At 46.7% G+C, this 24,091-nt stretch overlaps 1 protein-coding gene, 1 non-coding gene and 1 pseudogene across 8 annotated transcripts in view, besides 1 other annotated feature; 1 reads left to right on the forward strand and 2 right to left on the reverse strand.

Moving 5' to 3' along the window:
* The window catches only part of TBC1D2 (TBC1 domain family member 2), a 56,652-nt gene that overhangs the window by 21,555 nt on the left and 11,006 nt on the right, over positions 1-24,091 (reverse strand). For all 7 annotated transcript variants that reach the window (NR_051978.2, XR_929824.4, NM_018421.4 and 4 more), the window contains 4 exons: positions 23,442-23,577; positions 12,864-12,997; positions 8,400-8,596; positions 281-676 (listed from right to left, as the gene is read on the reverse strand). Coding sequence is in view for 5 of the 7 variants with exons in the window: in NM_018421.4 (NP_060891.3) it covers positions 281-676; positions 8,400-8,596; positions 12,864-12,997; positions 23,442-23,577 (863 nt within the window). In the remaining 2 variants the exon portion in view is untranslated. The remainder of the gene's footprint in view (positions 1-280; positions 677-8,399; positions 8,597-12,863; positions 12,998-23,441; positions 23,578-24,091) is intronic.
* Positions 2,118-3,317: an enhancer, noted in NCBI's record as "MED14-independent group 3 enhancer chr9:100984952-100986151 (GRCh37/hg19 assembly coordinates)". NCBI's record gives its function as "activates an origin of replication core promoter dependent on BRD2, BRD4, P300/CBP and CDK7 cofactors, and independent of MED14, by STARR-seq in HCT116 cells {active_cell/tissue: HCT116}" and the evidence as "EXISTENCE:reporter gene assay evidence [ECO:0000049][PMID:35650434]".
* Positions 8,597-8,665, reverse strand: MIR6854 (microRNA 6854). The gene has a single exon (NR_106913.1). It is a non-coding gene; the product is annotated as a microRNA 6854 (primary transcript).
* Positions 14,010-15,200, forward strand: LOC100131625 (ADP ribosylation factor like GTPase 8B pseudogene; annotated as a pseudogene).

Genomic DNA, 24,091 nt, shown 5'->3' on the forward strand with positions numbered 1-24,091 from the left:
TAATCTAGAGGCACCTTCACTTTTCAGTAGCCCAGGATACCAGGGCTACTGGTTAATGGGTCAATCAAGGCCCAGGCAAACTGCACTGGGCCTTGTGGTAAAGAAAGTGAAGAAGCGTAGAGCAATATTCCCATCAACATGTGTTTCTAATGTGAATATTCTAGGATGAAGGGGTATCCCCACTCCACCTAGCAAACCCTTAGGGGTGGAGAGCGCACCTTCCCTGAGGGCTGGGACAGAGGACCGGCAGGACTGGCAGGCCCTGAGGGGAGGCCCCTACCTTCAGGTGCTCTATCTTCCCCTGCTGGCTCAGGAAGTCCCTGTTGGCAGCGTCGGGGCGCAAAGGAGACTGGTCAGGGGGGTGCGTGAAGTCCTGGGTGACCTTCTCAGAGAGCTTGCAGATGACCTGCTGCTTGGCGTGGTTCTTGTCCATAAGCAGCTGCACGTGCTGCTGTAGCTCCTGCACCTGCTGCTCCCGCAGGCTCGCTGTGTGCGCCAGGCTCTCCCGCTCCTGCTCCAGGGCCTCCACCCGCCGGCCCAGCTCCGCGATCTGCCGCACTTTGTGCCGCACCAGCTCCAGCCGGTCCTTGTCCTCAGCCGCCGCCAGGTATGCGCTGGACGCCCGCTTCTCCTGCTGGGCGGCCTCCAGTGCCTTGTGCAGGATCTTCACTAGCTCCTGGGCAGGGAGAGGGAAGAATCTTGTGAGCTCAGGGAGGGCCTGCTGGGCGCCACAGTGGGGTATATGTTATCAGTAGTTCTCCTAACAACCGTGAGAGGTGCCCAGCAGCATCCCTGCGGCATCTCATCCTGACACTCACTTTCTCCTTCTCTGTTCAAGTGACTGTTAGCTGGGCACATGGTTCCCCAGCTTAAAACTGCATCTCCCAGCCAAGCCATGGTGAGGTGTAGCCAAGTAACTATTCTGCCTAAATGGGAAATGAAAAGTGAGATGGGCAGCTTCTGGGTCCTACCTTTAAAACCACTAGATACACGCTCCTCTGGTCCAGTTCTCTTTGCTTCTGGCTGGGAAGTGGCAGGAACTAGAGTGGCCGCCTCAGACCCACAGCAGAAGGTACATGTTGAGAAAGGGCTGCCCCCCAGCTCAGAGTTGCTCACCTACCTCTGGGTTCTTTAATGTGAATGAGAAACCTCTCACTCGTTTTGGGCCACAGTGCTTTGAAACTTTTTTTTTTTGAGATAGCGTCTCCCTCTGTTACCCAGCCTGGAGTGCAGTGGCACAGACATGGCTCACTGTAGCCTCAATCTCCTGGGCTCAGCTGATCCTCCCACCTTAGCCTCTCAAGTAGCTGGGACCACAGGAACATGCCAACACACCAGGCTAATATTTGTATTTTTTTGTAGAGAAGGGGTTTTGCCATGTTGCCGGGCTGGTCTCAAACTCCTGGACTCAAATGATCTGCCCACCTTGGCCTTCCAAAGTGCTGGGATTACAGGTATGAGTCACCACACCCAGTGGAGATGTTTTTGTCACAGCAGCTGAACCCATACCCTGACATATACACATCCATTTCAGGGATGAACAAACTGAGGCCCAGCAGAGAGTAGAATGGAATTCAATCTCAATTGGCTAGATTCCAAAGCCTGTGCTCAGTAACTAAGAAAACCAGGGGTGGCAGCTATGTGGCATTACTCTTCCCTCTCATCCCTGTGGCAGACATCACTAATTAATCTCCCATACTTCTTCCTGCACAGCCTACCCTAGTTGAGGCCTCAGAATCATTCTCAATATAGCAGCCAGTCACTACCAATCAAGTTGAGTCAGGGTTAAAGAGGAAATACACTGGCAATCCCCATGTAAAGCCACACACAGAGGACCTCATTCAAGCCATTTGTGCCTAGTTACCTTCAGCCCACCAGCCGATGCCTGCAAAGCTGGTGGAAGGAACTCTAGAAAGTTCAGAAACAATAGAGCTTGATTTATTCCTCAGCAGGGGCAACTAATTCACACAGGAACTCAAGGTCTGCTCAGCTCCCTGTGCCTTTAAGCCTGTAATTTCCCCAGGGAGGGCCACGCCTGGACTCAGGCCTATCTGTCCCAAAGCAGGGATGTGAATTTGTTCTGGGCCAGGATCAGGACATCAGCAGCCAGGTCCACGTGGAACTAATACCAGGTAGGTATGACTTTCAGGCAACACTGCCCTGCTCTGTGCTTCTCATTTGGAAAAACATGGTTTCCTAGAGACATGTCAACTATACCACACCAAAGTATTAAAATGAGTGGATTGGCTGGATAGCCTTATTTGCTAAGAACAATTCTATATTGGAGGAAAACTGCCAAAAACCATGACTTTTTTGGAGAAGCTAATGACAAGACCACATTAGCCTGCATCTTCTGAAACCTTAGGACTAGTGACCATCCTTTCTCTGGTTCTCTCTTTTCCTTCCACATGCCCATCCATCCATCCAACCTTTACCAAGCACCACTCGGTGCCAGGCCAGGCCCTGAGCCAGGTGCCGTGGCCCAGAGAGGGAGTGGTGAGAGTTCCCACCTCCAAGGACTGCAAAGGCTGGTGGGAATGAACATGACCCACCACAGTGGAATGATCTACTGCAAGTCAGGGGAACAAGGGTGTTTGTGGGAAAGGCAATGACTTCTGTCTGGGGTGGAGGTTGTGGGGAATACCAGTCCAGAGCATTTAAAAGAAACTGTGAAGAATGAGAAGGGCCAGAGATGGTCGAGCAGCAGGTGGGAGATGAGGGTGGGGATGGCCCTCCAGATGTGGCCAAGCTACAGCCCCAGTAAAGACCTGGAGGAAGGAAAGAGCTACCATGGAGCTGTGGGAGCCCTGGGGTGTGGCAGGAAGTTGGGGTGAGGACAGCACAGTGATTGCAAACCAAAAGGGAATGTTTGGAACGTCCAGAATGAAGAAGTCAGCTTCTCAGGGCTCAGTGGAGAGAGATTAACATTCCTGTGGTTCCAGGAAAACTGGGGGCCTAGGCCATTTTCTGCTTCAGCTGAGATTTGGAGGTTACCTTGGATGACTGCCCAGGGAAATAACCAACAGACATCATTGTTCAGACTTGCCCTAGGAGCAGGACCAGTGGGTGTCTTTCCCTCAATTTGGGGAGTTAGTTGACTCTGAAGCTTATTTCATTACATCTAGCTGTCTCCTTCCCGCATTTGGCTCCCAGAATCTAAGACTGAGACACCAGCCCAGGAGGCTCTCCTCCCACCCCCAGAATTCTTGTACCAGAATAAAATAGGCTTAAAAGAACGGAACCAGGGCAGAGGGAGGGAGCCTCAGTAGGACTTGTAAGATGAGGAGTGAGAATGTCATGAATTCAAGAAACCTAAAGTCTGGATTATAAGCAATGTCTTAGGACCAATTCTTAAAAATAGGTTGGGCCGGGCGTGGTGGCTCACGCCTGTAATCCCAGCACTTTGGGAGGCCAAGGCGGTCGGATCACGAGGTCAGGAGATCGAGACCATCCTGGCTAACATGGTGAAACCCCGTCTCTACTAAAAATACAAAAAAATTAGCCAGGCGTGGTGGCGGGTGCCTGTAGTCCCAGCTACTCAGGAGGCTGAGGCAGAATGGTGTGAACCCGGGAGGCGGAGCTGGCAGTGAGCTGAGATCGCACCACTGCACTCTAGCCTGGGCGACAGAGCGAGACTCCATCTCAAAAAAAAAAAAAAGAAAAGAAAAGAAAAGAAAAATAGAGGGGTTGATGAAATTAAGCTTTTTGAAGTGTTTTTTTTTCTTTTCTTTTTTTTTTTTTTTTTTTTGAGACAGGGTCTCACTCTGTTGCCCAGGCTGGAGTGCAGTGGCGCAATCACGGCCCACCGCAGCCTCAACCTCCTGGGCTCAAGAGATTCTCTTGCCTCAGTCTCCCTTGTAGCTGGGACTACAGGCATGCACCACATTGCCCAGCTAATTATTTTATTTTCTGTAGAGACAGGGTCTCCCTATGTTGTTCGGGGTGGTCTTGAACTCTTGGGCTCAAGAGATCCTCCCACCTTGGCCTCCCAAAGTGTTGGGGTTATAGGTGTGAGCCACCATGCCCGGCCCAAGTGGTACTTTTAATATTTCTCAATCGAGTTGTTTGGTTCATCTCAGATTTTGATACGTGGTCATAAGTTGTCACTTTATTTAAATTTTTAAAAGCCAATAAATCATCTTTAAAAAATAATCCTTTATCTTTTTAGAGCATTGCTACTTTCATCAGTGGTGGGCCCTACAGGGGTCAGATGAAGGGGCATGGGCTTTGGAGTTGCACAGGCCTCGGTTCCCATTCTGGATCCGTGGGGGGTGTATCTAACGAGGTGACTCTAAGGAGGGTAGCTCAGGTGGCCTCTTCATTGAACCTCAGCTTTCTCATGAATGGGGCTAAAGCTTCCTCTTCTGCTCAGAACTGCCTCTAGCATGAAAGAGAAAGTGCCAAGTGTCCCTCCCCAAGCTGACATGGCCAAGGTACCTCCCAGCCCTCTTTCATGTCCTCTGAAGTTTTTGGCTGGAGTTCTAGGAAAGTAAGAGGCTATACGTTGCCCCACTGAGTTTCCTAAAAAATTACGTTCCTTTACCCAGTAATCCTGATTGAACTAAGGTGGCCCCAGAGGGCCGCAGGCAGGGTCCCAGAGGGGTTCATCATTCCCAGCCGCCAACAGATGGCCAACATCACCACAGACAACAGCCTTCCATCTGCCAGAGCAGACGGCCTTCAGGCTGGGTGGAGTTCTGTCAACTCCAAGGGTCAGTCCCCGGCCAATCAGCCATCTGGTGCTATCTCCTAGAGCCCAAACCTCTTGTGGGGCCAGTGCTGCAGGTATGGGGACAGATAATGGCTTAATGGGTATTGAAGTCAACCTGTGGTTTAATATGACACCAGGGGGTACACAGGGAGTGCATTCATTTTTTCTCAAGAGCAGTTTTGGTGCTTGTGTCTCATAGTGGGCCTCACCATGAGACTATGGAAGAGAGGAGGCAGCCCAGCCTCTAGACTTGGAGAAGGAGGTTAGGGCCCCAATCCTGGCTTTTCCAGCTGCCTGCGCATGGGCAAGTCACCCAACTCCTCTGAGCTCCTCAAATGCTGGCTTAGCCCCTGGGAGACCCTGAGCATGCAGACACTCTGAGAACCTCAGTTTCCCTTTCAGAGTAAGGGGATGAAAACTATTGTAAGGACAGAGATAACACATGGGAAGGCTCAGCACAGTCCTGGGGCCGCGCTTCATACCAGCAGTTCCCATGCTCACATCTTCTCTTCCCCACTAGATGGTGAGGTGCCCAAGGGCAGGGATTTGTCTGCAATGTGCTCTCAAGAGCATCTCGCAGTGTTTGAGATAGAAATTCCTAAAGAGTCACGAAAGCCACTGGCAATGGCCAGATCAGCTAGGATAAGACCCCAAATTCCCATGTCCTCCTGAAGTTTGAGGTAGACAGGAGGTGCCTTCCCACTAAAGAAACACAGGAAGGTACCTCGCAGGGGTAGCTCCTGGGATTCCAGGTGCCCATCTTCCCAGCTGATGAATGGGACTCTAATGAGGGTCTCAGATGGACAGCGGCTCTCCTAGCGGCATTCTGAGTGCCTGGGGGCACCACTGGGCACCCAGAAGTTGTGCTGGCTTTTTCTGTCTCACCTCTTTGGTTTCAGTATCTGGGCTACAGGTGAAACCCTAGAGTTACGGGGCTGCCATTCCTCCCTTCCTAATGTGGAATGAAGACCTAAGCTCCCTGATCACTGCTATGGCCCCACGGCACATTTCCTGAAGGCACTGATGGGCTCTCACTTCCCGCCTCGTCTCTGAGCCCCTCAGCAGGGCACCTCACTGCTTGTAGGGCAGGAAGAGATTGACATGGAGGGTAAGGAGGGCTGCAGTAATCGCCAGAACAACCAGAGCCTGCATCTGTTGGGCAGCTGCTGGGTGCCAGGTACTGGGCTTTATGAATCTGGGCACAGGTCTCTCCAGTAAACACGGCTGCAACTCCATTTACAGAAGAGGAAACTGAGGCTTAGATAGGTTAAGAAACTTGCTTAGGGCCAGAATTTGAGCCTGTGCTGTCTTATTTAAAGGCTGGTTCTTTGAATCACCCTGAAGACTGAAGTTCATTTGTGGAATGGGTTGGAGAGTAAACAAATCCACTCCTATTGCACAATAATTGGATAAACTAAATAAATCACAACTCATTCTCCTTTTGACCCTCTGTCCCAGGACACAAAGTCGAGGTTTGGTGGAAGGTTACCTGGTAGAAAAAAAATCCAGATTCTTCAATGCATCAACAACTTCCTCCTGACAATTTCCCTCTGAATATATGGGAGTTGTCAATAGCCTGGTCAACCCTTATTAATCTCCAAGAATCTTGCCTTTATTTATTGAAGAATGATGAGTCCTCCAGAGATGCAGAGCAATCAGGGGCAAACTTTCATGAAATCTAGGTTTCCTGGGGCCTTTCTACTTCATCTGACAATTTGTAATGTCTTAGAAAGAAAGGCTGTGTCAAGAGAGGCTGCCCGTATATTCAGGATTTCTTTTTCTTTCCAGGTTTGGGTTTCGGATTTAAGCTCTACTAGTCCAGGGATCAAGTAGCTGCTATGGCTCTGTTTCATGCCCTCTCAGCTCTCAGGAGCGTCCAGCAGCCTCAGAACTGGAGCACCATGATGACAGGAGGAAAAGACAGCTGGGCTGCTAAGCAGCAGCAGAGGGGACCTCACGTGTTATAACTACACATTTGGGTGTTGCTTTGTTTAATGTCTGTCTCTGCCATGAAATGCAAGCTGTAAGGGCAGAGCCTGTGTCTTTTGCTCATTGTTCTTTCCCAGCACCTGGAACACTGCATGCACATAACAGGCCCTTAATAAAAATTTGGTGAATAAACACATGAGTTAAGAACGTATGAATAAATGAGCCCCCTCCTTTGAGAACTCTAATGTCTAATCACCAGTTGCTTCACTAAATGTAACTCCTGGCCAGGCACGGTGGCTCACGCCTGTAATCCCAGCACTTTGGGAGGCTGAGGTGGGCAGATCACTTGAGGTCAGGAGTTCGAAACCAGCCTTGCCAACATGGTGAAACCTAGTCTCTAATAAAAATACTAAAAACAAAAACCAAAAAACAAAAAAAAATTAGCTGGGCATGGTGGCAGGTGCTTGTAATCCCAGCTACTTGGGAGGCTGAGGCAGGAGAATCGCTTGAACCCGGGAGGCAGAGGTTGCAGTGAGCCAAGACTGCACCACTGCACTCCAGCCTGGGTGACAGAATGAGACTCTGTCTCAAAAAAAAAAAAAAAAAAGTAACTTCTGACATGCCAGGAATGAAGCCTCTGCCGGTTCCCCTGAGATCTGCTGACAGTGGTCACTGCTTAGGGGCAGAAAAGGCAGACGAGGGGCCAAACTAGGTATAGGGAGAGCATTTTTTCTAGATTTCTTCCCACCAAAATAGGGCAGAAAAGAAAAGAAGAAATGTACAAGTTATAAGAAATATTCAGAAGGTAATAGGGCATAAGCCCCACCTCCCCAGCCTAAGTCCTCTGGAGTCAGGGCTGGAAAACAAAGCAGAAAGGGCCTCCGGGCAGCCAAAGTTCAAACACAAAAGCTTAGGCCTTCCTCTAGAGGAAAAGGAGTCTGGGCCCTCACTGGAGCCCGCCACTGCCACCACAGGTCCTACCAGGCCCCACCGTTGGGATTTATGTAACAACTGCCTAACTTAGTCGCTTTTATCACTCTAAAGAGGGGCTCCCGCCCGGAGCTGCAGCCCTCTCACATCTTTGCCCTGGGACCCTCACTACTTCATAAGGTAGCCCCTGGCTTTTAATACCATTTACTCTCTGGGATGTAGGATTTTGGAGTAGTTTTAATGTCTGTGTGTATGAGATCTGTTTTCTACAATTATTATATAGCTCTTGTAACTCTCGTAATTAACTTCTTACCATATTAAGCCCAAATATTCCTTTCACTGTTTCTGTGTTGGTCCTGGCTTAGCCCTGGGCCACACACATGCTGCTTGTTTGCTTTCTCCTGTGACAGTCTTGTGACGGTCATTCAGATATCTGTGCCCAGATATCGGCTGCCAGGTCAAAGTTCCCCCCAGTTCTATCGACAGCCCCTCCCATGACCCTGCATCCAGATCACCTGCCTCTAAATAATGTCATTTTCTGGGTAGGGGGTGAGACCATGCATGGCCCTCCAGGAGGGGTCCAAGAGACAGTTATTAGAGTAGATCTCCAGAGATACCTGCCCTTGGTGCCCTTTTGTGACTTACTTTGAGTGACATCAGGTTCTTGAGTAATCAACAGCATATTTCAACATTCTGCAGTTTGGCCTTTAAAGACCAGAGAGTAGCTGGTGCCCAGCACGGCTAATGCGTCCCATCTAGCTTATCCGAAAGGCTCCAGGAACTGGAGGGGTCCACTGGAACCTGGGGCCTCCCTGGGACCAGACCTCACCTTCTGAGACTTTAACTCCTTGGTGAGCATCAGAACCTGTTGCTCCAAGGCTGCCACTTTCTCCTGGGCAGTTCGGTTCCGTGTGATTCCTTCAGAAAAGAATGGGAAGGTGTTGTTCTGGCGCTTGGCTTTCTGAGCGAAACTGATGGTCAGAGAAGGCTTGGGTGCAGGCTTTGGAGAATCCTCTGGCTCTCTCCCTGCTCAAGAGGAGAAACGCAGAAGTTATGACTGATGACATCAGCAGTTCTCAAACCTGAGCTTGCTTTAGAAGCACCTGGAGGGCTTGTTAAAATGCGGATGGTTGGGCCCTAATTTCGGAGCTCTGGATTTAATAGGTCTGGGGCAGGGCTTGAGAATATGCACTTCTAAAAAGTTCCTAGGTGATGCTGACACAGCTTGTCCAGGGGTTAGACTGTGAGAACCACTGGCCTACATAAACGTTATTGCACTGTGCTGGCCCATCTGCTAAACTGTGCCTGTCTCCTTCCTTCAGATCCCACCCAGCCTGCATTGGTCTATCTCATGCCACCCTGCTGGTGTTTGCCAAGTGGCTTTCTCCTCAGGCACAAGCCCTGGCAGGATGTTCTGTTCCTTATTTCAGGATCCCACCTCTATGTACTAGGAGATTTTCAAAGCACACAGATCTGTCTGATGATAGGAACACAAAATGAATGTCTGTACTCTGCATTCTTGCTCCAGAGAGCAGCTCAAGCATTTAACTTGATTCTTCTTATTCCAAGCTAAGTTAAGAGATATATTTCCCCCACAGTTGATTGTCTCAAGGATGCATAGTCCTTTTATCTCCTGGGTTACAACCTATGGTTCACAGGCCAAATCCAGCCCACAGCCTGCTTTTACAAATAAAGCTTTATTAGAACACGGCCATGCCCATTTGTTTATGTGCTGTCTATTGCTGCTTTTACTCCTCAAAGGCAGAACTGAGTGCTTAAAACAGAAACCCTATGGCCCACAAAGCCTCGAATCGTTACTATCTTGCTCTTTACAAAAAATGTTTGCCACCCACTGTTTTTAAGTCATCAAAATTTTATTCTTAAATCAAACCAAACATCAGAGAATCATTCCCTTGTGTTGCCTTGTCCTGCCCTGACCCAGCTGTGCTTCTGGTCTCTGCCATCAGCCTGCATCAAGGGACATTTAAGGGCCTGACTATGTAGCCAAGGGCCCTTGAGAAGCTTGTTCACATGGGATATATACATCATGCCTATTATGAGTCCCCAGCAGAAGAAATTCCCTTCAGCCCTAGGAACTTCCAAGAAAAGCTTTGCTTCTTATAAGAAAATATGTTTTTAGTCTTATGGACACTGGAAATAATCTAGCTGCTTGCATTTCCCTCTTTGCCTTGGCTGCTGAGCTTACAGCCACATTTACTGCCTACTCTCAGATATTTTGTAGGATCGTAAATTGATCTTATCTAAATCTCCTAACCAAATTACTCATTTGCAGGAGTATGCATTTTAGTAAACTATTACCTATTTCTTGGGACTAAAGTGTTAAAGGTGTTGAAAATAAGAATGTGGTATGGCATCCCAGGATAGGGGACACGCAGGGCTTTGGGGATAGGCCAAATGACTTAGCATGAGACCAGGCCAAGGGCTGGCCAAACAGTCTTGAACAAATAAAGAGTTACTCCAGTAGGTGACAGGAACCAGACACTGAGTGCAAAAACAGTACCTTGCTCGGCCGGGCGTGGTGGCTCACGCCTGTAATCCTAGGACTTTGGGAGGCTGAGGCGGGTAGATCACTTGAAGTCAGGAGTTCGAGACCACCCGGCCAACATGGTGAAACCCCGTTTCTACTAAAAATACAAAAATTAGCCAGAAATCACTTGAACCCGGGAGGCAGAGGTTGTAGTGAGCCGAGATCATGCCAGTGCGCTTTAGCCTGGGCAACAGAGCGAGACTCTGACTCAAAACAAACGAACAAAACAACAGTGCCTTGCTGAGTGCAAAACCAGAACAGTCTTGTTCCAGATCGAAGAGAAATCAGGTTACACTGGGTACAAGGCAGCCTGCAGAGCTCAGAAATATGTACTACCTCTTTCTCCTTCCTGTAATGGGGTATAGGGGAGCAGGGAAGCTCCTTGTAGCACTGCTGCCCTCTGATACATGACTGTGCACCAACTCTGAGGACAGGCAGGGCAGGCCTCACAGTGCCCAGTTTATAATTAGAGAAAATAAGGCCTAAGACAGTGGTGTTCAATCAGTGCCCTGGATTTCATAGGAGTGCCTCAAGGGCTGACTGGGAGAGGAAGGTGGAGTAAGAGGAGCAGAGGAGGAGTCCAGACTCCAACTCCAGCCTCAACTCTGCTTTTTTTTTTTTTTTTTTTTTTTTTAATTTGTAGCTCATTTAGAGTCTCAAAAAGAATTTAGGTGTTTTTTATTAGTGTTCAAGAAACTCATTTGTACATATTAGAAAAGATTTATTGACATAAAAATAATCTTTTCCTCCATTTAAAAATCTGATTACAACCACTGTTTAACACAGTGTAAACACCGTTTAACACAGTTTAACACAGTGTTGAGATATTCAACACTTTATTAGAAAATAGGTTTTGTGTTAGATGATTTTGCCCAAATGTATGTGTTCCAAGCATGGTTAAGATAGACTGGGCAAAACTATACTGTTCAATAGGTTAAGTATATTAAATGCATTTTCAACTTATGATATTTTCAACTTATGGTGGATTTATCTGCTTTATATATTAGATTTTGTTCTGTCACTCACTCTGTGGCCGTGAGCAAGTCACTCCACCCTTCCATGCCTCAGTTTCCTTATTAATCTAATGAGGATAACAACAATATATACAATATATACAGTTCCAGTTGCTGTAAGAATTAAATAGGTCAAGGTAGGTAAAGTGCTTGGTACACACAGATGAAACTTGAAAAGATTCTACTAAGTCAAAGAAGCCAGTCACAGCATGGTATATTCCTTGGTATATTCCACTCACAGCAGATGTCGAGAACAGGCACAGCCATAGAGAAAGAAAGATGAGTGGCCACCTAGGGTTATGGGGCAGTGGGGATTAAGGTTGATGACTAAGGGTGCAGGTTTCTTTTTGGGGTAATAAAAATGTTCTAAAATTGATTATAGTGACGGCTGCATAATTCTGAGGATATACAGAAAGCCACTGAATTACACATTTTAAATGGGTGAATTGTATAGTACATGAATATATCTTAATAAAGTTGTTGCCAAAAAAAATGCTTACTGCCGCACTGGCATGAAGTAACTGCTAGTGTTATGATGATGGTGACTCATCCGATATAGCACTGGCCTTCTCTTGGACTGCTTGTTGTGCTCTCTAGGGCTCTGCCAGGCACTGACTGCTCCAAAGGGTGCTTTTTCTTTTCTTCTTTCTCTTTTTCTGTTTTTTTTTTTGACAGTGTCTCACTCTGTCACCCATGCATGATCACGGCTCACTGCAGCCTCGACCTCCCTGGCTCAAGTGATCCTCCCAGCTGAGCATCCCAAGTAGCTGGGACTACAGGCTTGCACCATGATCAGCTAATTTTTTTATTTTTTTGTAAAGACAGGGTCTCCCTGTGTTGCCCAGGCTTGTCTTGAACTCCTGGGCTCAAGCAATCCTCCAGCCTTGGCCTCCCAAAGTGCTGGGATTACAAGCGTGAGCCACCATGCCCAGCCTCTTCTTAATTTTTTACTCTGAAAAAATTATAGACTCACAGGAAGTTGCAAAGATAGTGCAGACATGTCCCAAGTACTCTTCACCAAGCTTCCCCTGATGGTGACATCTTACATAGCTATAGTACACTATCAACTCTAGGAAACTGGTGTTGGTACAATATGTGTGTATAGGTCTATGCCATTTTATCACATGTGTACATTTGTTTTTGGTTTTGTTTGAGACGGAGTCTCACTCTGTCACCCAGGCTGGAGTGCTGTGGTGCAATCTCGACTCACTACAACCTCTGCCTCCCAGGTTCAAGTGGTTCTCCTGCCTCAGCCTCCTGAGTAGCTGGAATTGTAGGCACTGGCCACCATGCCCAGCTAACTTTTGTATTTTTAGTAGCGTGGTGGTATTAACAGGTGGGGCCCTTGGGAGGTGATCAGATTTAATGTCATGAGGGTGGAGCCCCTGATAAGATCAGTACCCTTAGAATAAGCAGCAGAGACCAGAGCTCTTTCGGCCACGTGAACACACAGTGAGAAGGTGGCCATCTATCTGCAAGCCAGGAAGGGAGCCCTCACCACACATTGAATCTGCCGGCACCTTGATCTTGGACCTCCCAGCTTCCACACAACTGTGAGAAATAAGTATCTGTTATTTAAGCCACGCAGTCTATGGTGTTTCAGTAAGTAGCCCAAGCCAACTAAGACACACACAAAAGCACAAATGCTGGTTCGCTGGAAGGAAAGAAGGCACTTGTGCCAGCCGTGAGGAGCTGGTCCCTGAAGGCAGCTCAGCCCTGGACAGAGGCTCACCTGGGGTGCTGGCGTCAGAGGCCAAGGGCTGCTCCTCCCTCTGAGGCTCCCCACTCTGTGGAGAATCTTCCCCTGGAGGTTCATGGCCTGTTCCCTGGGCCTGCTTGTTGCCACGGATGTTGTGCATTGTGTTCCTGAAAGGAGACAAGAACAGAGGAGCATGAGGCTGAACCCTGCCTTTCTGCCCTTCTGTCCTTCCCGCCACCACTGCTGGAGCTCAGGTCTCATCCCCACACCCTGTCATCCTGACTGGTCTCCCAGACTCCAGGCACCCTACATGATGCCTCCCCATGCATGGCACTCCCAATCTCCTTTACCTATCTCTTTCGCATTCTCATCTTCCACACACTATGTGGCTTATAAGTAATACAAGCTTGACTTCCTTAACCCCCACCCCTGCAGCTGGAATATAAATGCCATGAGGCGGAGGTATTGTCCGTTTTGTTAACTGATGCACCTACAATGCCTAAACGGTGCCCAAAACATAGAAGGTGCTTAATATGGGTGTGTTGAGTGAATGCTGAATGGACTTGCTGAACCAACTTTCCCGAAACCTTCATCTGGTTTCATAACTATCTGGCTCAAAAACCATCAGTGGCTCCCGACTTCTGCTGAGATAAGTTGCAAACATCTCCTGGCATCTTTCCCTGCTTGCTCTCTTTCCCTGCTCAGATCTGTCCTCTGTGCAGCCTTCACTGACCATCTCATGGCCTCCAAGGGGCTTAGTGTACTTCGCAGCGGGGTCACCCTTTGGCCAAGTACTTGTCTAGGCTGAAGCCTCATGATGTCATTTCTTTAAGAACCGGGTACTAACCTACCTGCATGTTTGCTGGTGCCCAACACTGGGTTGTACATGCCAGAGACCGGGCTCAATACATGTTTGGTTTATAGAAGGGAACTAGATAGTACCAAAGGCTGACCTAAGATCACAGACCACAGAGAAGTTCATAATGAGCTGGATGTAAAAACAGTTCAAGGAGTTTATTTTCCCTTGCAAAGAGATAAGATTAATGACAGGGAGGGAAAATGATGAAAGGAGTTCACTAGGTCAGTGTATTTCGAACTGAAAGTTCCCACTCATTGGTAGATTGTAAAATCAGTTTAGTGTCATGACCAGCATTTAAAAAATGAAATAGAAACTATCAGGGCTGCTGCCACCTGCCTGCATCCACCTGTGTTGCATCGGAATCCTGAGGAGCTGTTGGGTGGTCCAGACCAAGGCTGGCTCGTGTGGAAGTCATCCTTGCCTCTGTTTGCCGACCCTCCCATCCATCCTGTCTCCCAGTGGTCGTCATGCGGCGCACATCTCCTGCCTGCTGTACTAGTTCCATTTGCTCTTTTGGAAGCAGGAGCTAGAACTGACGCTTGTGGGGCTACAGGACTTAGGCCAAGACCAGCTTTGTGAATATCACTGCGTCAGGTCAATTTAGTGAAAACATGATACCCACAGTGAGCTTCGACACGAGGAAAGTAACTAAAGGTAACATCACAGTAAAGATCTGGGATATGGCTGGGCACGGTGGCTCACGCCTGTAATCCCAGCACTTTGGGAGGCTGAGGTGGGTGGCTCACGAGGTCAGGAGTTCAAGACCAGCCTGGCCAGGATGGTGAAACCCCGTCTCTACTAAAAATACAAAAATTAGCCGGGCGTGGTGGCGCATGCCTGTAGTCCCAGCTACTCGGGAGGCTGAGGCAGAGAATCGCTTGAACCCGGGAGGCGGAGGTTGCAGTGAGCTGAGATTACGCCACTGCACCTCCAGCCTGGACGACAGAGCGAGACTCCATTTCAAAAAAAAAAAAGATCTGGGACATAGGAGGACAACCCCAATTTCGGAGCATGTAGGAACTATATTGCTTAGGAGTCAACGCTATTGTTTACATAACAGATGGTGCAGATCGTGAGAAGATAGAGGCCTTGAGAAATGAGCTACGTAATCTAGATAAACCACAGTTACAAGGAATTCCAGTGCTAGTACTTGGAAGCAAGAGAGAGATCTTTCTAATGCCTTGGATGAGAAACAGCTAATTGAAAAAATGAATGTCTGCTATTCAGGATAAAGAAATGTGCTACTATTCAATTTTTTGCAAAGAAAAGGATAATGTAGGTATCACACTTCAATGATTTATTCGACATTCAAAATCTAGAAGCTGAAGCATCTCCTGAAGTCTTCCAATCCTTCTCAGCTATAATCCTAGAATTATTGTCTGTTTCTCTAAAGCACTTCCCAAAATACGGTCCTTCCTAACCCCAATAAATTGTCTTTTTCAGAGTTTATTTCTCATGTGCATTGCTGAAGATGTGTATCCCTAATCCTTCATAAGAATCAGCAAGTTGTCGGCTGGGCACGGTGGCTCACGCCTGTAATCCCAGCACTTTGGGAGGCTGAGGTGGGCAGATCACGAGGTCAGGAGTTCGAGACCATCCTGGCTAACACGGTGAAACCCTGTCTCTACCTAAAATACAAAAAAATTAGCCATGTGTGGTGGCGGGCACCTGTAATCCCGGCTACTTGGGAGGCTGAGGCAGGAGAATGGCATGAACCTGGGAGGTGGAGCTTGCAGTGAGCCGAGAAAGCGCCACCTGTACTCCAGCCTGGGTGACAGAGTGAGACTCCATCTCAAAAGAGGAAAAAAAAAAATCAGGGAGTTGTCATGATCAAGTCAGCACATACAAAACATACACATATCTTACACATACTTGTCTTAAACTGTATAGAGCTTTTTAAAATTTTATTTATTAAAAAAAAACAATTGACCATCTTAACTCAAGAAGATTGCATATTTCCATCCTGGTCTTTCTGGGCCAGATTTTTGTTGTTGTTGTTTGAGATGGAGTCTCACTCTGTCACCCAGGCTGGAGTGCAATGGCACGATCTCGGCTCACTGCAACCTCCACCTCCCAGGCTCAAGCGATTCTCCTGCCTCAGCCTGCCGAGTAGCTGGGATTATAGGTGCCCACCACCACACACAGCTAATTTTGTATTTTTAGTAGAGACAGGGTTTTGCCGTTTTGGTCAGGCTGGTCTCAAACTCCTGACTTCAGGTGATCCACCCGCCTTGGCTTCCCAAAGTTCTGGGATTACAGGCATGAGCCACCGTGCCTGGTCTGGGCCAGATTTTTATATTGGTTTTCAGTAAATGTTTATCTATAACATTTCATTATAGAGTCCAGTAGCTTGATACTGATACTGACTTGATACAGCATGAAGTTTCTAGTGCCACACACAGTTTTTAGAAAACCTTTAAGCCTGGCTCATGTGGGATATAAACATAATGTTTATCTTATCTCACAAATGTATGTGAAATGTATAATTACACCTTAGGAATCCAAAAATGGTCTGCAAAGAGTGAGCGGAGGCACCAGATCAATGTTGTTGGTTCTTTACACTGGTGAGATTCTACTTGATGAGTATTAAAAACACTGCTTTCTGAGAATTCTTTATCACAAAATAGCAGTTGGGGATATGGGAGGAACTAAGGCATGCTTTGTATCTGTGTAGATCATTACTTCCATTTTTTTTTTTTTTCCTCATTCAAAATACTTTTCATGGGGTTGGGAATTGATTATTTCTCCAAAGCTTTTATGAATTTAAAGCATGCCAGTTAAGATAATAAAATCTGTTAAGAATGTCAGACTTTGGCCGGGTGCAGTGGCTCACGCCTGTAATCTCAGCACCTTGGGAGGTCAAGGCGAGTGGATTGCTTGAGGCCAGGAGCTCGAGACCAGCCTGGCCAACATAGTGAAACTCCGTCTTTACTAAAAATACCAAAGTTAACCAGGCGTAGTGGCTCATGCCTGTAATCCCAGCTTCTCGGGAGGCTGAGGCAGGAGAGTTGCTGAATGTCACTTGAACTGGGAAGGCAGAGGTTGCAGTGAGTGGAGATTGCGCCACTGCACTCTAGTCTGGGTGACAGAGCAAGACTGTCTCAAAAAAAAAAAAAGAAAAAAAAGAAAGTCAGGCTTTGCTGAAAAAAAAGAAAGAAAATATCAGAGTGCACCCCACTTAGTGCACCTTGCAACAGCACCACTGTCTGGATTACTATAGCTTTGTAGTAGTGTTGATATTGGGAAGAGTGCGTCTTCAAACTTTTTTTTTCTTTTTTTTTTTGAGATAGAGTCTTGCTCTGTCGCCCAGGCTGGAGTGCAGTGGCACGATCTCGGCTCACTGCAACCTCCACCTCCCAGATTCAAGCGATTCTCCTGCCTCAGCCTCCTGAGTAGCTGGGATTACAGGCGTGCACCACCATGCCCGGCTAATTTTTTTTGTATTTTTAGTAGAGACGGGGCAAACTTTTTTTATTCTTCAAGATTATTTTGGGTACTCTGGGGCTCTTGAATTTCCAGGATCTTGAATTTTAGGTTTAACTTGTTAATTTCTGTAAGGAAGCCACCAGAATTTTGATGGTGATTATATTGAATCTGTAGATCAATTTGGGAAGTATTGTCAGATTAATAGGTTAACAATATTAAGTCTTTTTTTTTTCTTTTTTTTCTTTTTTTTTTTTGAGACAGAGTCTCACTCTGTTGCCCAGGCTGGAGTGCAGTGGCACAATCATGGCTCACTGCAGTCTCTGCCTCCCGGGTTCAAGCGATTCTCCTGCCTCAGCCTCCCAAGTAGCTAGGATTACAGGAATGTGCTACCATGCCCAGCTAATTTTTGTATTTTTAGTAGAGACGGGATTTTACCATGTTAGCTAGGCTGGTCTTGAACTCCTGACCTCAAGTGATCTGCCCACCTTGGCCTCCTAAAGTGTTGGGATTACAGGCGTGAGCCCCTGCGCTCAGCCTAGCAATATTAAGTCTTTTGATTCATGAACATGAGATATCTTTCCAGCTACTTAAGCCCTTTTTTTCAACAATGTTTGGTGTTTTCAGAGCACACATTTTGCATCATTATGTCAAATTCATTCCTAAATATTTAATTCTTTTTCTAATATTGTTATGGAATGTTTTCTTAATTTTATTTTTGGGTTGTTTATTACAGGTGTATAGAAATACAACTGATATTTCTATATTGATCTTGAATCCTGCAACCTTGCTGAACTAATTTCTTAGCTCTAATAGTTTTTCCTTAGGATTTTCTGTAAACAAATATCATGTCAACTGCAAATAAAGATAGTTTTACTTTTTTCCTTCCCAATCTGGATGCCTAATTTCATGTTCTTGCCTAATTGGCCTGGCTAAAGCCTCCAGAACAATGTTGAATATTCCTGATTTTAAGGGGAAAATATTCAGTCTTTTACCATTAAGTATGTTAGCTTTGCATTTTTCATTGATTCCCTTTATCAAGCTGGGGAAGTTTCGTTCTACTTGTTTTTTTTGTTTTTTGTTTTTTGTTTTCTGAGACGGAGCTGCTCTGTCGCCCAGGCTGGAGTGTAGTGGTACAACCTCCGCCTCCTGGGTTCAAGCAATTCTCCTGCCTCAGCCTCCCAAGTAGCTGGGACTACAGGCCTGTACCACCATGGCCGGCTAATTTTTGTATTTTTAGTAGAGATGGGATTTCACCATATTGGCCAGGCTGGTCTCAAACTCCTGACCTCAGGTGATCCACCCACCTCAGCCTCCCAAAGTGCTGGGATTGCAGGCATGAGCCACTGTGCCTGGCCTCCTTCTAGACTTTTAAAAAAATTATTTATTTATTTATTTATTACTATTATTTAGAGACAGTGTCTCACTCTGTCACCCAGGCTGAAGTGTGGTGGCATGCTCATAGCTTACTGCAGTCTTGACCTCCTGGGCTCAAGTGATCCTTCCACCTCAGCCTACACAGTAGGTGGGACTACAGGTGTGTGCCACCACACCCAGCTAATTTTTTGTAGAGATGGGGTTCACTACAATTTTTTGTAGGCTGGTCTCAAACTCCTGGCCTCAACCAATCCTCCCACCTTGTCCTCCCCAAGTTCCGGGTTTACAGGCAAGATCCACTGCGCCTGGCCCTTTCCAGTCTTTGTGAGAGGTTTTATCACAAAGAGATGTTGAATATTGTCAAATGCTTTTTCTCAGTCTACTGAAATGATGTGGTTTTTCACCTTCTTCTTATTAATGTAGTGTATTACATAAATTGAATTTCAGATGTGAAACCAACCATGTATTCCTAAGATAAATCCTACTTTATCGTGGATTAATCCTTTTTATATGCTGCTGAATTCAGTTCGCTAGTATTTTGTTGAGAATTTTTACATCTGCCTTCATAAGGGATATTGGTCTGTATCTTTCTTATGATGTCTTTGTTTGGTTTTGGTATCAGAATAATATCAGTCTTATAAAATGAGTTGGGGGATGTGTCCCCTCCTCTTTTATATTTTGGAAGAATCTGTGAAGAATTGGTATTAATTTTTCTTTAAATATTTGGTGGACTTCACCAGTGAAGTCATTTGGTCCTGAGTTTTTCTTCATGTGTAGTTATTTATTTATTTATTTTACTAATTCAATCTCTACGATGTAATTAGGTCTTTTTAGATTTTCTTCTTGCGTATATTTTAGTAAATGTGTCTTTCTAGGAATTTGTCCATTTTCATCTAAGTTATCAAATTTGTTGGCACATAGTTGTTCATAGTATTCCTCATATAATCCTTTTTGTTTCTGTAAGGTTGGTAGCAATGCTCTCTTTTGTTCTTGACTTTAGTAATTTGAGTTTTCTCTCTTTTCTCAGTCTGCCTAGCTAAAGGTTTGTCAACTTTGTTGCTCTTTTCAAAGAATCTCTATTGATCTCAAACTTAGTTTAAAACAAGATCCAGGTGTGTTTGTGTGGTGTGTGTGTGTGTGTGTGTGTGTGTGTTTTGTATAGTTGGGCCCAGAATAAGAAAATAATGAGATTATACTTTCATGGATAGTACAGCTGAGTGACAGAAGGAAAAATTCATCGGTTGAATTAAGAGCAGAGAAGAAATTAGAACTCAGCACTCCCAATACCTGATCTTTTGCTGTAATTACTATGGTGTCCTGTTATAAGGAGAGCCCCTGGCTCCTTGGCCTAGTGACTTCCCTTTCCCAGTCTTGCCTTCCCCATCTGAAAATACAAGAATGTAGTTCCATTGAAGAGAATCATGATGATCATGATAGGCACTACTATTTACTGAGCATCACTTTATGCTGGGTCCTGTGCTGAGCCCTGTTACATGGATTTCACAAACCACAAGTCACATGAGTTGGAGAGGGACACAGGGCCATATCCCTATAGCTAGAGGCACTGGCTAGGTGGGGTAATCATCACTGCTGCCCACACTTTAACCAGGAACTGCTCCCTCCCTGACATGTCCTGGGTCTGATAAGCAGTCACCCCTGGGGTGTGGGAAAGCACAGAAACCACAACTTTAGGGCAGCGAAAGGCCTTCTAAGCCCTAGCACACATCTCTGGGAATGGGAAGCTCGCTACCTTCTGAAATGGTCCGGCTGGTCACCACCCAGCTAAACCACTATGCTTGGAAGAGCTGTTTCCATTTCATAAATTTATCAACTTTGCTTGGAGCAGTTCATGGACCATTTTCTGTTTAGGTTTAATTCCAGGTCTGCAAGGCCTGGCCAGCATGGGAGTGGTGATCCTAAAGACTTGTTCTGAAAGGATAACCTTGGGAAAGCTAGTTATCCTCCCTGAGCCTCAGTTTCCTCATCTGCAATGGGGATGTCAAACATATCCATAATGAACACTGGATGGACCCTTCCATGGCTCAAATTCTAAGTGAAACACTATGATGCATTCCACTCACTTAATCCTCCCAAGACCAATGAAGTAAATACTATTCTCACCCTCATTGGACAGAGAGAACTGAGATTCAAAGAGGATAAGTAACCAAAACTACAGAGCAAGTAGGCAGTGGGGCTGAGCAGCCCTGGATGTCTAACTCCATGGTTTGAGGACTTAACCATGTGATGATACCACTTCACAGGTTTGTCTAGAGAACTCGAGAGCATAAAGCACCCAACACAGTGCTCAGGAAGCTCCCTACCCCCTTCCCTGAGTATGACCCGGGTTCATGGCAGCACCAACAGTGAGTTCCAAGACCAGCCAGAGCACAAGGGTGTAGGACACAAAGGCAGCTCTCATCTCACCAAGTAGTCTGGGGCTCTCAGCAGCCCAGGGCACTTCTCTTGCAAAGTAGCCTGGCATTTTCTGTGGGCCAAGACAAGTTACAGGAGGGAAGTTGCTCTATGACCCTCTGAAGCTTCCTTCCTTTCTTGGTCTCTGCATTTTCTATGTTCTGCTTCTGCTGCTGTGGCCTCTATCAGGCATGGACTCAGTTTAATATTGGTGAGACTGCCCTGGGTGCATGCTGGCTGGATAGCTGGACTTCTCAGGCCCCCTCTCTACCCCAGCATGCTCCCAATGCACCCAGTTCCCTGTAGCTCCTCCCAACAGGTGATCTCCTGCAGGGTGCCCTCCACATCCACTCACCCTGGAGGGCTCAACCATGCCCTATACCCATCAAGCCTCTCTCTCAAGCTTAGATCTCTCTCCTGGGCTCCAGGTCATTCCATCCAAATGCCTGTGGGGGAGCTCTACCTCCAGCCAGCAGACCCCAAAGAACACTCATTGTCTTTTCCCTAAAACCTGATTCTCTCCTGGAAAGGACGTCACCACCCTCCTAGTCACTCAAGCAAATTCAGACTCTGAAGCCAGCAGAGGGAAATACTCTGCCTGAGTCACACAGAACCAGGGGTCCCTTATCAAAGTCCCGTGAGCAATCTATTTTGCCTTCTAAGAGCTCTAAGTTCATCTGAAGTCCACATGGAACACAAATGCCCAGGCTGGGCGTGGTGGCTCACGTCTGTAATCCCAGCACTTTGGGAGGCCGAGGTGGGCAAACCACGAGGTCAGGAGTTTGAGACCAGCCTGGCCAACATAGTGAAATCCCATCTCTACTAAAAATACAAAAAGTCAGCCGGGCGTGGTGGTGGGTGCCTGTAATCCTAGCTGCTATGGAAGCTGAGGCAGGAGAATCACTTGAACACGGGAAGCAGAGGTTGCAGCGAGCTGAGATCGCGCCACTGCTCTCCAGCCCGGGCAACAGTGCAAGACTCCATCTCCAAAAAAAAAAAAAAAAGAAAAGAAGAAAAGAAAAGAAAAGAAACGCCCAAACAGGATCACTATTGGATATAGTTTGAATTCCTGAAAGTTTCCATCCCTTCAACTAGAGTAACAATAGCAGCAGCAGCTAATATGCATTTCATGCTTAAGACTGCCAAGCACAGTTCTAAAGCAGGCTGCATGCATTAAACGATTTAATTACCATGCTAAGCTTATAAGGCAAGCGCTGTTGTATTTACATTTACTAACAAGGTAAGAAAAGCATTGAGAAACAACTTGCCAACAGCAGCACAGCCATGACTGGTGGAGCCAGGATACAAACCCAGGCAGTTTGCTTCCAAAGCCCAGGCCACACTGCTGCCTTTTTTTTTTTTTTTTTTTTTTTTTTTGAGACAGGGTCTCACTCTGTTGCTCAGGCTAGGATGAAGTGGTATGATCATGGCTTACTGCAGCCTTGACTTCCTGGGCTTGGGATTACAGGCACATGCCACTATGCCTGGCTAACTTCATTTTACTTATTGTAGAGGCAGGGTCTCAGAAGTTGCCCAGGCTGGTTTTGAACTCCTGGCCTCAAGTGATCCTCCTGTCTTGGCCTCCCAAAGTGTTGCAATTACAGGCATGAACCACGACGCCTGGTCCATACTGCTACCTTCTTAGAAATTATCTAAAACAAAGCCTGACAATAGTAAGGTATATATATATAATATATTATTAAATAACAAAGTAGTTGAGATATGATTGACACAATAAATTGCACAAGTTAAAAATGAGTAATTTGATGCTTTTGACATGTATAGACATTTGTGAAACCATCACTACATCACATTCAATATGATCTCATTTATGCAATATGTATATAGAAAATGTAGAGGAAAGAAATATACCAAATGCTAAGAATATTTGTCTGGGTGGTAGGATTATGGATAATTAAAAAAAATACTTTACTTATAATCAAGTGATCCTCCTGCTCCAGCCTCCCTAGTAGCTGGGACTACAGGCTGTGAGCCACCTCGTCCAGTGGGTAATTTTTTATACCCTTCCAGATGTTTCTGATTTCCTATAATGAACATGTACCACTTTTCCAATGAATGTATTTTTTTTTTTTTTTTTTTGAGACAGAGTCTCACTCTTGTCGCCCAGGCTGGAGTGCAATGGTGCAATCTCGGCTCACTGCAACCTCTGCCTCCTGGGTTCAAGCGATTCTCCTGCCTCAGCCTCCTGAGTAGCTGGGATTATAGGCACCTGCCACCATGCCCGGCTAATTACTGTATTTTTAGTAGAGAAGGGGTTTCGCTATGTTGGCCAGGCTGGTCTCGAACTCCTGACCTCCAGTGATCCGCCCACCTCGGCCTCCCAAAGTGCTGGGGTTATAGGCATAAGCCACCACACCCGGCCAAATGTAATATTTTAAAGTGATGATGTGATTAATTGAAAATAAAGCCCATAACCCTCTCCCGGGGCCCATCTCCCTGCAGGAGAATCACAGTGGGTCAAGCTCCACTGAAGGGGCTGCCTGCAGCTTGGCTAGCCCCTCAGCTCCACTGGCACTTACTGTATTTCAGTCCCCAGGTGCTTGAGGGAAATATTCTGAAGGGCAGGGAAGGGCTGCAAGGCAGCTGCCACGCCCACTAGCCCAGGGGGTGTTTTCACAGGGCACAGGAACTCCTCCAGCTCTGCCTCTTCTTGCCCTGGGAACAAAGAAAAGGGAAATCCATCAGCTGGGTCACTGCACTTGGAAAGACAGGTCAGGTGGGATGCTATGGGTGCAGCCCTGACTGGGAACAGGCTGGAGTTGGAGAGTTGCAGGGGCAAGCAGGCCCTCCCTGTAGGTTAACAGCAGCAAAATAGGCTTTTCACAAAATGTTCTGCAGCCAGTAAAATGATGCATTTTGCTGGTACAGCCCTCCTGCAAACCCCTTAAAAATATGCAGACCTGGCTGGGAGCGGTGGCTCATGCCTGTAATCTCAGCAATTTGGGAGGCTGAGATGGGCGGATCACCTGAGGTGGGGAGTTAAGAAACCAGCCTGACCAACATGAAGAAACCCTGTCTCTACTAAAAACACAAAATTAGCCAGGCGTGGTGGCGCATTCTTGCAATCCCAGCTACTCAGGAGGCTGAGGCAGGAGAATCGCTTGAACCTGGGTGGCGGAGGTTGCAGTGGGCCGAGATCGCGCCATTGCACTCCAGCCTGGGCAACAAG

The sequence above is a fragment of the Homo sapiens genome, chromosome 9 (assembly GCF_000001405.40).
Source record: "Homo sapiens chromosome 9, GRCh38.p14 Primary Assembly".
NCBI classification, from domain to species: domain Eukaryota; kingdom Metazoa; phylum Chordata; class Mammalia; order Primates; family Hominidae; genus Homo; species Homo sapiens.